Source organism: Homo sapiens, chromosome 16, assembly GCF_000001405.40.
Source record: "Homo sapiens chromosome 16, GRCh38.p14 Primary Assembly".
Lineage (NCBI taxonomy): Eukaryota > Metazoa > Chordata > Mammalia > Primates > Hominidae > Homo > Homo sapiens.
In genome coordinates, this window is record NC_000016.10 from 75895521 (window position 1) to 75908517 (window position 12997).

Sequence of the window (12997 nt, forward strand, 5' to 3'; positions counted from 1 at the left end):
TCCATCCTCTGGTTATCTCTGCATGAGAGCTGAAACAAGAAGGCAGAGTAGTTGCCTTGATGGACCTCAGCCGGGAACGTGCCTTTTGGGTGACTCAAATTTTTAGTGCTCTGTGTATGCATGTCTGCAAACGGCAATGAAAGTGCCCGGACTACTGGTGTCAGGGTTACAAATAAACTTTAGCAAGCAGGCGAATCCACGAAGGCACAATCTGCAAATAATGATCAATTGCATTTTTACAAAATTAGTTCCTCAGGTACATAAAGAAACACATAATCTTGTATTCGTAAGGAAAGATAAAGATCAGCTAGTCCAACTTGCAACTCAGTGCAGGAATTCTTTATGTGGTTTTGGACAGGTACCATGCAGCCTTGGCCTGCAGTCTTGACCCTGGCTATCCTCACACCCTTATGTGTGGCTGCCCTTCAGATTCCACTCAAAGGTCTCTCATCAGAGAAGCTCTCCCAGGCTCTTAGATTGAGTTCATCCGTTTATGATTTCATACCCCTGTGCACCTGTTCTTCAGGGCACACATTCCATGCCGTTTATATGTGTACATTTCTTTTTTTAATTATCTGATTAGAATTGTTTCTCCACTAGGGCAAAGAAACTGGGTCTTCTTTTACACACTTTGTATCTTCAGAAACTGAGTGTGAGCACATAATAACCCATTAATTACTGAATAAGAATAAAAGAATGAATGAATGAACAGGGAGATCATTACCTCAGGGGACGCTATTTTTCATTTTTGAATCATCTACTTATCACCAGGCATAGGTAAGATCTAAAGCCCTGGCTCAAAATGTTATTTTCTGTTTACATATGGATGAGTAAAATCTAAAAGCCTCAATTATTTCAAGGCCCCTGTAAGTCAAACCAATATACCCTGAGGGAAAGAATGATGCTGTACAGAGATCATATTCCAATTTAGAATAAGATATTCACCTAGGAGTAACTTAATTATTTGATTATATGGAGATTAGCTGGCTTATAATGCTTCACTTGCTTCTTTTCTTGCTGAATATTATTTGTATTTCTGGTATCTCACTAAAAAAAACCAGTATTTTAACTGGATTGGGGGATTTCGAAGAACAGATCCAAATTGGTAAAGTATGTATTAGGCTATAGACAACATCTTTACGTTATCCACCAAGAGGGAAAAATAATTAGACAATGCATTTATTATGTTTCTTTCTTAACACATTAATTCTTTACACAACAATTCTCATAGTTATTGGGCACCGTCTGCCTTGTGCCAGGTTCTGGGCTCTGTGCTTGACTTTTACTAACTCAAGATATTTCCATATGAAAATCATTTATGATATTGACTTCATATATTAATAAATGAGCCAGGCACAGTGGCTCACACCTGTAATTCCAGCAGTTTGGGAGTCCAAGGCAGGTGGATCACCTGAGATCAGGAGTTTGAGACCAGCCTGGCCAACATGATGAAACCCTGTCTCTACTAAAAAATAATAATAATAAAAAAATTATCTGGGTGTGGTGGCGGGTACCTGTAATCCCAGCTACTCAGGAGGCTGGGGCTGGAGAATTGCTTGAACCCAAGAGGTGGAGGTTGCAGTGAGCCGAGATCTCGCCATTGCACTCCAGCCTGGGTGACAAGAGTGAAACTCTGTCTCAAAAAAAAAAAAAAAAGAAAAGAAAAGAAAACTTTGTAATTTGAGCAGTCTTTAATTTCTGGTAAGATAATTATAACTTCTTCCAGTAAGAATAAAATATTCTTTTATTTTTATCGTAATTGTTTACACAGCCAACATTCCACGTGAAAGAAACATTATGTAAATGGGAGCCCAACGAATAGATAACATTGTTTTGTGTAAGTGACTATGCAGTGAAAATGTGACTTATCCTAGGTTATGAATCCTAGTCACTTATTAATGTTACAAACTCCCATTATTATTAAAGAAGTGTTGAAAGAGAGGAAGGAATAGAAGTTAAAAATTGCTTCTATTGCATCTTTGCATTTGGGCACCTCTAAGAGTTCAGATTTTTAAAAACCATTTTGCCGCTCATCTTGCTGACATTTTCCTGCCAGTGGATGAAACACATGATGCATTCTTTCTGTCTCTGCATATATTTTTGTGAACAATTTGTCTGACAAGGAGACTTTACTTAACGCAAAAAATGGAAAAGTTAAAGAAACACATTTTGCCTTATCAGAGAGGTGACTCTTCTTAATACCACCTTCCTTTCAGTTGGATATTTAATTTTACCATGTATTTTTGAAGTTTGCCATGTTAAGACCTGTCACTCTCTGAAGTCCTCACACATAAAACTTAATCTCTGCTACTTTTATAATTATAGATGCTCCTCAGTATACTATGGGGTTACTTCCTAACAAACCCATTGTATATTGAAAATATTGTAGGTCAAAAGTGCATTTAATACATCTAACCTACTAAACATCCTATCTTAGCCTAGCCTACTTTAAACTTAATTTAAGTGCTTAGAAGGCTTACGTTAGCCTGCAGTGGGGCAAAATCTTCCAATACCAAGTGTATTTTATAATAAAGGGTTGAATATCTCATGTAATTTATTGACTACTATACTGAAAATGAAAAACAGATTGGTTGTAAGGGTACTTGAGTATGGTTTCTACTGAACGCATATTGCTTTTGCACCATTGTAAAGTCAAAAAGTCATGAGCTGAGCTATCATTAAGTCAGGGATCATCTGTATTTTATTCTATTGAGTTTACCACAAGTGAAATTCTTTCTACATATTTAGTAAGAGTAATGCCCATCTTCCTTTTTCTTAAAAATGGTTGTTTTATAGATTTATTCTAGGAGTTTTAAAACACAATAATTGATGTTCAAGGAAGTGAGGAAGAAAGGAAAAGAATAAATTATCAAAACAATAACATGAAGTCCTCGCTGAGAGCAGAAGGACCTAGTTGTTCCGATTATATATGTGCAGCATGTTCTCAATAAAATGAATAGAAAAGACTCTCACGTAAGCATTTCATTGATTAAATAGGAGTGCCCACAAAAGTTTCAAAGCAGGAAAAAATGATCATGAAAAAGAAGAAAAGGAATTAGAATAATTTCAGAAATCTCAACCACAAAACAAGGTCCTAGGAAATAACTGAATAGTGCCATTATGAAGGAGTGGGTTTCAACCTTGAAGTCTCTAAAAAACAAAGTTTCTTACAGAAAGAAGTTAATATCAAGACATAGAATTACTTAGAAAATGGATGTATCAGACTTATTCACAGTCTCAAGTGTGAACCTGTGAACCTAAAAAAATAGGCTGTGATCTAACAAAAATAAAGGAATAAATACGTGGTACACTTGTTATGTGAAATATCTTATCTTTTATTTTATATTTGTTATATAAATGTTTATATTAATATTTAATTATATACTTATTATATAAATATAGCTATATATCTATTATCTATAGTTCTGTATCTAGTATATAAATATAATAATATATTTATTCTATAAATTTAAGCATAAATGTATATTTATTATATAAATATAAGTGTATATTTTATATTTTACAATATTTAATATATACCTTATATATCTTATATAATTTATATTTTATTATTTAGTCTGATATGCTGATTCTTTAATACATATTCTTATATATAATATTTGTAATTTTTTAATCTTTCATTCTTTCTTATTAATTCTTTAATACATATTTTAAAAATTACTAAAGTTAAGAATGACAATATATTTTGACTTCCTGGGAGTATACTGCAGAAATACTGGTAAATGGAGAAATAATTTCATGATAATGTTGACATGAAACAGAGTGAAGAGATATCCCAACTGTTTCCCTTTCCTATCACGACCACCAGACACATGTCATTCATTAAGGAGCCTACAGCTCATCACTCTGACAGCAGAGGAACTCTTGTAGGAATTTTTCACACAAAATGCCTTTAAAAAACGTGAAAATGGGACCAATTCCATCAAAACCAGTGTAAGAAGACAGCAATTGAGTATCAACACGTTTCAGTTGATGAAAATTTCTAACAAAACAATCCCTGAAACAGAATAAAGCCATACCATAACACTCCAAACTAACGTTAGAAAAATTTTAAAAAGAAAACACCTAAAATCAGATATTCAAAACCTAAGATAAAAAAAATAGACAAAAAGGAAGGGTTTTCACCAGAGTTGCCTGAACTTAGGAAAGAAATTAAACCTGACGATGTGAGAAATGGCTAATAAATTACAACGGTCTTAAAAGAGAAAAAAATTGAATAAAAATTAGTAAGAGGCATTAAAGAAAGTCAGAAAAACAAGAAAATTAAAATTAGAAAATGGAAGAAGTAAACTGGGTCAGAGAAAAAAGTGGTTGAAATGAAAAACGTTTCTTATATATTTTCTCTATTATCTATTATTCAATCATTGATCTATCATTTATCTGTACATTACACACATTATATTTTTTGAATCTTTTCAGAATCGGTTACATGCATGAGGAAGCAAGGCTACTTACCCCTTAATACTTCTGTATATATTTCTTATGAAGGAGGATATTTATTTGCACAATCACATCTCAGTAATCAACTTAAGAGAATTAACATCAAGCATCCCTGTTACCTAGTCATATATCTAGGTCATATTCCAATTGCACCTATGGCTCCAATAATATCCTTTTTAGCTATATTTTCTAGTACAGGATCCAGTTCAGAATCACATACTGCTTTTATTTGTTACGTCTCTTTTTTTAAAATTTTGCTTCAAGTTCTGGGATACATGTGCGGAATGTGCAGGCTTGTAACATGGGTATACATTGTTATGTCTCTTCAGCTTCCTTTAATATAGAGCACCTTGGCCTATCTATGTCTTTCTTTCTTTCTTTTTTTTTTTTTTTGAGACAGAGTCTCGTTCTGTCACCCAGGCTGGAGTGCAGTCACGCGATCTTGGCTCACTGCAACCTCCGCCTCCTGGGTTCAAGTGATTCTCCTGCCTCAGCCTCTCGAGTAGCTGGGACTACAGGCGCGGGGCCACCACGCCCAGCTAATTTTTTTGTATTTTTAATAGAGACGGGGTTTTACCGGGTTAGCCAGGCTGGTCTCGAACTCCTGACCTCAGGTGATCCATCCCAAAGTGCTGGGATTACAGGTGTGAGCCACCACGCCCGGCCCTGTGTCTTTCATTAAAAAAATACAGGCCAGATATTTTGTAGAATATTCCTCAATTTGCATTTCTTTGATGTTTCCTCATGAATAGATTGAGATTATGCTTTTGGGCTTGAATACTACATAAGTGCTATGTTCTTCTCAAGCAGTTACACTGGGAAGCTCATAATGGCTTTTTTTGTCGATGCTTTGCCTCTTTTTGTGACGCTAATTTTGGTTACTTGGTTATCTCTTTTTTCCATTATAGGCCTATTTTATTTTGTAACTAAAAGGTGTAGGGAGATACTTTAAGACGGTGTAAACATCCTTTTTATTAAAAAATTTAATTTAAATTTAGCAACAATTCATGATTCTTGCCTGAATCAGTTTTTACTATGATGGTTGTAAATGGTGGTATTCTAACTCCATCAATTTTTCTCTACTGGTTGTTGGAATTGTCTTGTGTGGAAGAGCTTTTTCCTTCTCTCACAATTAGTTTGTATCTCTTTGCTCTCAGAATGGATTTATGGATTCCTATTTCAGTCTACGGGTTATAATCTTATTTATCTGATGCTCAAGTTACCAAGATCTGGTCAGTGGAAGCTACCTCAGGCTTCCTTCTGTATTCTTCTATCATGTCTCCATCAATTTTTGAAGCCTGCCTTGTTTTCTGGCAATGCACTTATTCCAGGCTCATGTGGTGGCTACCCCATCATTTTCCTTCGGAGCTCAGTTTCCTTCCAAAGACGAATGACTTTTTAAAACCAAGATCTAGGACCTAGTTCTACTGGTATGTCATTGAGTTTGGGCCCTTTTAGTAAAAAACTGCTGAAAGCACAGATTTTTCTTTTTTTGTGTGTGTTTAGAGGCGGAGTCTCGCTCTGTCGCCCAGGCTGGAGGGTAGCGGCACGATCTCCACTCACTGCAACCTCCACCTCCTGGATTCTAGCAGTTCTCCTGCCTCAGCCTCCTGAGTAGCTGAGATTATAGGTGCCTGCTGCCCTGCCCGGTAGCTTTTTTTTTTTTTTTTTCTTTGTATTTTAGTAGAGAGGGGGTTTCACCATGTTGCCCAGGCTGGTCTCGAACTCCTGAGCTCAGGCAATCCACCCGCCTCGGCCTCCCAAAGATTTTTCTTTTATAGCAAGAACCATGACCCATGATATAAATCTATTACTCATTTGTTCAATCCTACAATATGCACAAAATAATTCTAGTTTGATACTGCCCAAGAATTTTCCAATGTGAATGCACCAATTAGTACTCCCTCCAGCAGTGTGTGATATTTCTAGTTGCTCTACATCCTTGCCAACATTTTAGGAATGTCAGTATTTTTCTTTTAGCCATCGCAGTCTCTGTACAGTGGTATATCATTGTGGTTTTAATTTTTATTTGCATGTCCTTGATGACTGATGAGGTTTAATATATATTAATTTATTTATTTGCCTCTTGAATATTTTTGCTTTGATAAAATGCATCTCTACTTTTCTCTTGTGTTGTCTATGTTTTTGTGTTGGCTGAATATACACTCACATGGAAGTGTTCTAGGTGAGTCATTGGTGAGATTTGCTTTGAAAATATCTTCTCCTGTTCTCTGTTTTCCCAAGATCAATAATATTTTCTCCCCTATTTTATTGTAAAAGTTTCATTACTCTGCATTTACTATTAAGATCTTCAAAATCTCTTAATTCTTTTTGTGTATTGTGTGAGGAAGGCTCAAGAATCATTTTCTCCACATTGAAATCCAAGTGATACAGTACCTTTTATTGAAAGGACAATTCTTTTCTTGCACTTCACTGAAGTCTCAACTTTGTTAAAATCCATGAGACCATATTTGTGTAGCTTTGCTTTTGAACTCTCTTTTCATTTTGATTGGAATATTTTTTCTGTCCTTGTGTTATGCCATGTTGTCTTATTTACTGTAGTTTTATGATACATCTTAATATCTAGTAATGTGAATGCCTCCACTTTCTAGCTACAAAATTGTCTTGGGTATTCGTGGGCTTTTACATTTACATATACATTTTAATATCAGCTTTTCACTTTCTACAATATAAAAATCCAGCTGGGATTTTCATTTGGATTGCTCTGAATGCATACATCAGTTTAGAAGGAATTATTATCTCTATAATATTTTGTCTTGAAATTCATAGACATGTGTCTTGTTTGTTTAGCTCTTTTTTATTTTGTCTTAATAATGTCTTCAATTTTCTGTGAAATATTGAACATATTCTATTTGGCTAATCCCTAAGTATTCTTTATGCTTTTATAACTATCATTTAGGAAACTCATTTCTATTTCTTTCTGGTGTATAACAATTAAACTTTTTCATACTGACTGTATCGAGTAAACTTTCCAGAGTCATTTATTAATTTTAAGAGCTTTTCAGCTTTTGAATATGTCATGTAAACAACTGTGTTGTCTGTGACTAACTAGAGATATGTTTACTTTTCCAGTCCCTATGCTTTGGTAGTTGTTTTACTTACCTCAATTCACAGCCTAGGACCTGAATTACAATGTTAAATAGAAGTGGTAATAGTGAGTACCTTGTCACCTGATCTTAGGAGGTAAGGTTTTAATAATTCACCAAAAAGTATGATGTTTACTGTAGGTATTTTATAGATCCCCAACACCAAATTAATGTTATATTCTGTTTCTACTTTGCTGAAAAAATTTTATAATGAATTTCAAATGCTTTTCTGGCACCTATTGAGAAGAATGTTTTGTATTTTTCATTTCTTCTATTGTGGTAAATTACATTGTTTGGTTTTTCTAATGTGGAAACAATCTTGCATTCCTGGAATAAATTCAACTTGATTGTGGTGTATTATCTTTGTATGTAGTTATACAATTATTGCAATCAATTTTGCAACTATATTCATGATGGATATTAGTCTGTAATGTCACTATTGTTGCAATGTCCTTTTTTTTGATTCTCATACGAAAGTTAGTCTGGCCTCATTAAACAAGTTGGGGCATGTTCCTTCTTTATTCTGGATATTAAAAAAATCTATTTGCTCTGTGCATCTTATAAATCATCAAATGTCTGAGGAGAAAATGGCCCAGAATATTGAATTCACTTTTCTGGGCCTCATGTCTCTCCAACAAATTGGCTCCTTGAGTCCTGGCTGCCTTGGTAGGTCTCTGGTATCATGAACATGATATTTTCTATATTTTATTCATCTTTTAAAAATTTTCTTGGAGAAGGGTCCATTTTGCTGCAGAGTGGCCTATCATCGCTGGAAGTGGAAGCCTCTCCCTCATTTTTAAACCCATTTCTCCAGCTTTTGTTATTTTTCACAAAGGGCAGGTAGATCAAGAATTTTTCAGCTTGTGTGTTACAAATATTCATTAGAGACTTTTAGATTGCTGTCTGTGTTCACCTTCTTATGCTTGAATGGTTTAGGAATGAAGAAGAATATTTACTGAGACAAATGCTCTGTCAGTTTGACAATGCTCTTTTCAAACTGGGTGCCTCTCAAAGCAAGTTCTGTATGGTTCATTACTCGTTTGCTGCACTATCCTCATCTTTTAAGGTTTGCTTTAGGTGATGCTAGTCTGCAGAGGTTTCTGCTTTCTGTTACATGCAAAGTTTAGGTTTTTTTTTTTTTTTAAGAAGTTTTAGGATAGTCAGGAAACATATTCTTCTTGGTTTCACTAATAAAGAATGCTTATTTTAATTTTGGTAAAATCTCATACAAACACACCCTGGAGGGATATTTTTGGGTGAAATCTGAATTAGTGTTACGTTATGCATGCGTGCACACACAATACTTCTGAAAGGTTAACTGAAAATTTTAATAAAATAATATTTTCACAGGTAAAAATATATTTTAGTAGCTTTTAGTGATAAAATTGCCTGGGAAAATAAAGTAACTCTTTAGAAATTATACTATTCAAGTTTTGAATAATAAATAAAAATGACTCAATTCTACTATCATGTTTAACGTAACTTCTAATATTTTATCAAAATAATTCCTAAGATTTAGTGGTGGTAATGATAATGGTAAACTGAATTCATAGACATGGAGTCATTTTCATCTAAAACAAAAGCAAATTATAACTTATGAATGAACACATTATCAGAATATATTTTTCATGAGCAAAACATATGGTCTGTTCATATAAGAGTTTGTTGGGGCCAGGTGAGGTGGCTCATGCCTGTAATCCCAGCACTTTGGGAGGGTGAGGCAGGCGGATCACTTGAGGTCAGGAGTTCGAGACCAGCCTGGCCAACCTGGTGAAACCCCATCCCTACTAAAAATATAAAAATTAGCTGGGTGTGGTGGTGCGCGCCTGTAATCGTAGCTACTTGGGAGGCTGAGGCACGAGAATCACTTGAACCTGGAAGGTAGAGGTTGCAGTGAGCTAAGATCATGCCACTGTACTTCAGCCTGGGCAACAGGGTGAGACTGTCTCAAAAAAAAATAAAAGTTTATTGGGACAGGAAGAAACCCTAATTCTTGTTTACTTCTTTTGCAGATGAGAAATTGGGGTTTTTCAGATGTGATTCCGTTGTCCAAGGTAAGAGTGAATGTGAGTTTTGGAGCTTGAACTCAGGTGTCTCCCTGTGTCATGATTCCTTCCCAAAAACTAACACTAGAAATAATCAGAACAGAGTGAGTTTGAAGCCTGACTCTGGTAATTACTAGGCACGCTGATTCATAAAATGTGGAGAATAACATCAGCAGAGACATTGTGTCGTAAGGATTAATGGAGTAGTGTGTGTGTGCTTTTAAGAGCTTACTAGGATGTCTGGTGCTTTTTAGGAGATCAACATATTTTCTTATACTCTCTGTAGAAGAGAATATTGTTTTCTGCTTGTGTGTGATACTAATTGCTTTGCTTGTGTTCTAGATCCTCTTTTCTTCTTCTCCACCATCTGCTATCAGCTCCCCCACAGCCTTACCCCCTTCTCCACCTTTGTGATTTCCCAATTCCAACCTCTCTACAAGCACTTAGTGGACAACTCAGGTTGTCTCTCTTATTTAGAACAAAACATCTTCCATCCAATATATACTTACCCACCATCTTTGCCCTCTTTTTCCCCTGTCAAGTTTCTTTGCAAAACGGTCTATATTTGTTGTCTTCATTTTCACCTCCTATTTTCTTGACAACCTATTACAAGACAATTTTGCCCTGGGCTATTCACCTGAAACCTTGGAATCATTGTGCATGCCTTTCTCTCCCTCTCCCTCAATCTTATACAGTCCAGTTCATTCCATATCCACATTCTTTCTAGATATCAATTTACTTCGTCCACAAATCTTTGTATTATTTTCATTTTTTGTATGGCTGATTCCAGTGTTAACCATAGTTCATGAAACAAATGTGGGACTTAGTGTTAGTTGCTATTGGCTTCTGAGCCCAGGCAACCACTTTTTTGATGTTTCATGAATAATTTGCTTTAATGTGCTATGACTCAGTGTGTGTGCTTAATCTGGAAGATGGGAACAATAAAAACTGTTAAACATGTGTTGTGAGGGATAAATGATAAAACTCATACAAATTGCTTATAATTTCCAGTCACAAAACAGGTATTTATATTTTTTGTTGCCTATTTTAAAATTCATGTACTTGTTTCTGAGACATTCTCTTCACTGACACCAATGTGATGTTGCTAAAATATTTATTTACACCTTAAAATCCTTATTAGTTTTCTGAGAAAACTCAAAACCTACTTATCTGACATCAAAGTGTAATCTGACAGCAAACAGGATCCTGTCACTCGCCAGTTTGATTTCTCTTCCACATCTTTTAGCCTTGCCATAGATCAAACTTCATTCAATAGCTATTGTTACTCATATTAAGCTCTTCTGTTTTGTACATGTAGTTGGATCTCCCTAGAAGGCTCTCACTTTTCTTACTTTTATCCTGCTTCCTTGCCATGTTCCAAGAACCAGTTTAAGCATCATCTCAAGAAGTGCTTGGATATAAAATAGGCAGAGAAGTTTCAATATTCCTGAAGTTTGAGAGAAAATAGACACAATACAACGGAACAAATAATGAAAAAATAATTGGAGGAAAGTTTTTTGAAATAAAAGTATATGTGGACCGCCGGGCGCAGGGGCTCATGCCTGTAATCCCAGAACTTTGGGAGACCGAGGCTGGCGGATCACAAGTTCAGGAGATCGAGACCATCCTGGCTACATGGTGAAACCCTGTCTCTACTAAAGATACAAAAAATTAGCCGGACGTAGTGGCACGCGCTTGTAGTCCCAGCTACTCGGGAGGCTGAGGCAGGAGAATTGCTTGAACCCTGGAGGTGGAGATTGCAGTGAGCCGAGATCGTGCCACTGCACTCCAGCCTGGGCAACAGAGTGACACTCCATCTCAAAAAAAAAAAAAAAAAAAAAGTATATGTGGACGTATATATTGAAAAGACACATCACAGACATGGGAAAATTGACCAGAATGCTCAACTCTGAGATATATTATAGTAAAACCATTAGCCTTTATTGATAAAGAAAAACCTTTGAGCATCCAGGCAACAACACCAAGTCACATATTAAGGAACCATAATAAGTTTGACATTAGACTTTTTAATAGCAAAATTTTGTGACAGAAGACAATGGAGTAACATAATTAAGATGCTTAAAGAAAAAAAACAGAGAAAAGTGCATTATACTTGGCCAAACTGTCATTCAAGTATAAAACCTATTGTCAAACTTAGGAACTTTTGAAATTTTTGGGAACTTTTTTTAATGAACCAATCCTGAAGAATCTACTAGAGAATTTGTTCAAAGATGAAGATCTAACAACCATTTTATAAGAAATAAAGAATAATGAATAGCATATTAAAATGAATTCACAGAGTAAAATCAGCAAAATCCATGAGATGGAAACCCTGTAGGACAAATGATCAGAAATATTCAACAAATAAATTACCAACAAAACAAGACAGAAAGGGGTTGAAGAGAAACATGGATTAAAAGAGACCTAAGAGACATGTCAATTAACTGCAATATATGAATCTGATCCAGCTTTTTGTTGAAAAGGCAAATGTAAAATTTAAGAACCAATTGGAGAAATATCAATATTGCTTGGATATTTGGTGATAAATAATTTTGTAGAGATGTTTTGATAGTGATTCCTATGGTTTGAATGTGTTCCCCAAAGTTCGCGTGTTGGAGACTTAATCCCCAATGCAACAGTGTTGAGAGGTGGGACCTCTGAGTGGTGATTAGGTTTTGAGGGCTCTGCCCTTGTGAATGGATTAATGTTGTTATTGTCTCTCTCATGACTGTGAGAATGGGTTTGTTATAAAAGTGAGTTTGGCCCTCTCTCACCCTCTCTTGACTGTGACAATGGGTTTGTTATAAAAGTGAATTTGGCCCTCTCTCGCCCTCTCTTTTGTGCATGCCCTCTTGCTCTTCCACCTTCCACCATGGGATGACACAGCAAGAAGGCCTTTGCCAGATGCTGGCCCCTCAATCTTGAACTTCCCAGCCTCCAGAACCATGAGCCAATACATTTCTGTTCATTATAAATTACCCAGTCTCAGATATTCTGTTATAGCAGCATAAAACAGACTAAAACAATGATACTGTGGTTTTATTTTAAAAAATGATGTAATATTGAAAAAATACATACTGAAATATTTAAGATCATTAATATGATGTCTGGGTATTTTCTTCTAAATATTTTAGTGGAGGGGTATGTGGGTGGAGTACAAATGAAAGAAGATCGCAAAAGCTGTTTCATGGTTATGTGGGAATCCATTCATTTGTATTGTTTTTTTTCTGCTTTTTGGTGCAATTATATTTTCCATAAGAAAAAAAATTAACCCTAAACAGATGGGAGTTGTAGAGGTAGGAACACTTAATAGTGGAAAGCAGTAACAGATGGTCATCTGGTAGTTGGGGAGGGGTGGATTATGAAACTACAAAATGACAAAAA

At 35.5% G+C, this 12997-nt stretch overlaps 1 long non-coding RNA gene across 1 annotated transcript in view; it reads left to right on the forward strand.

Annotated features, from left to right (window-relative positions):
* Positions 1–12997, forward strand: part of LOC105371348 (uncharacterized) — a 154623-nt gene that overhangs the window by 135471 nt on the left and 6155 nt on the right. Inside the window, exon 4 of the long non-coding RNA XR_933748.4 lies at positions 9581–9622. This is a non-coding gene — a long non-coding RNA (uncharacterized LOC105371348). The remainder of the gene's footprint in view (positions 1–9580; positions 9623–12997) is intronic.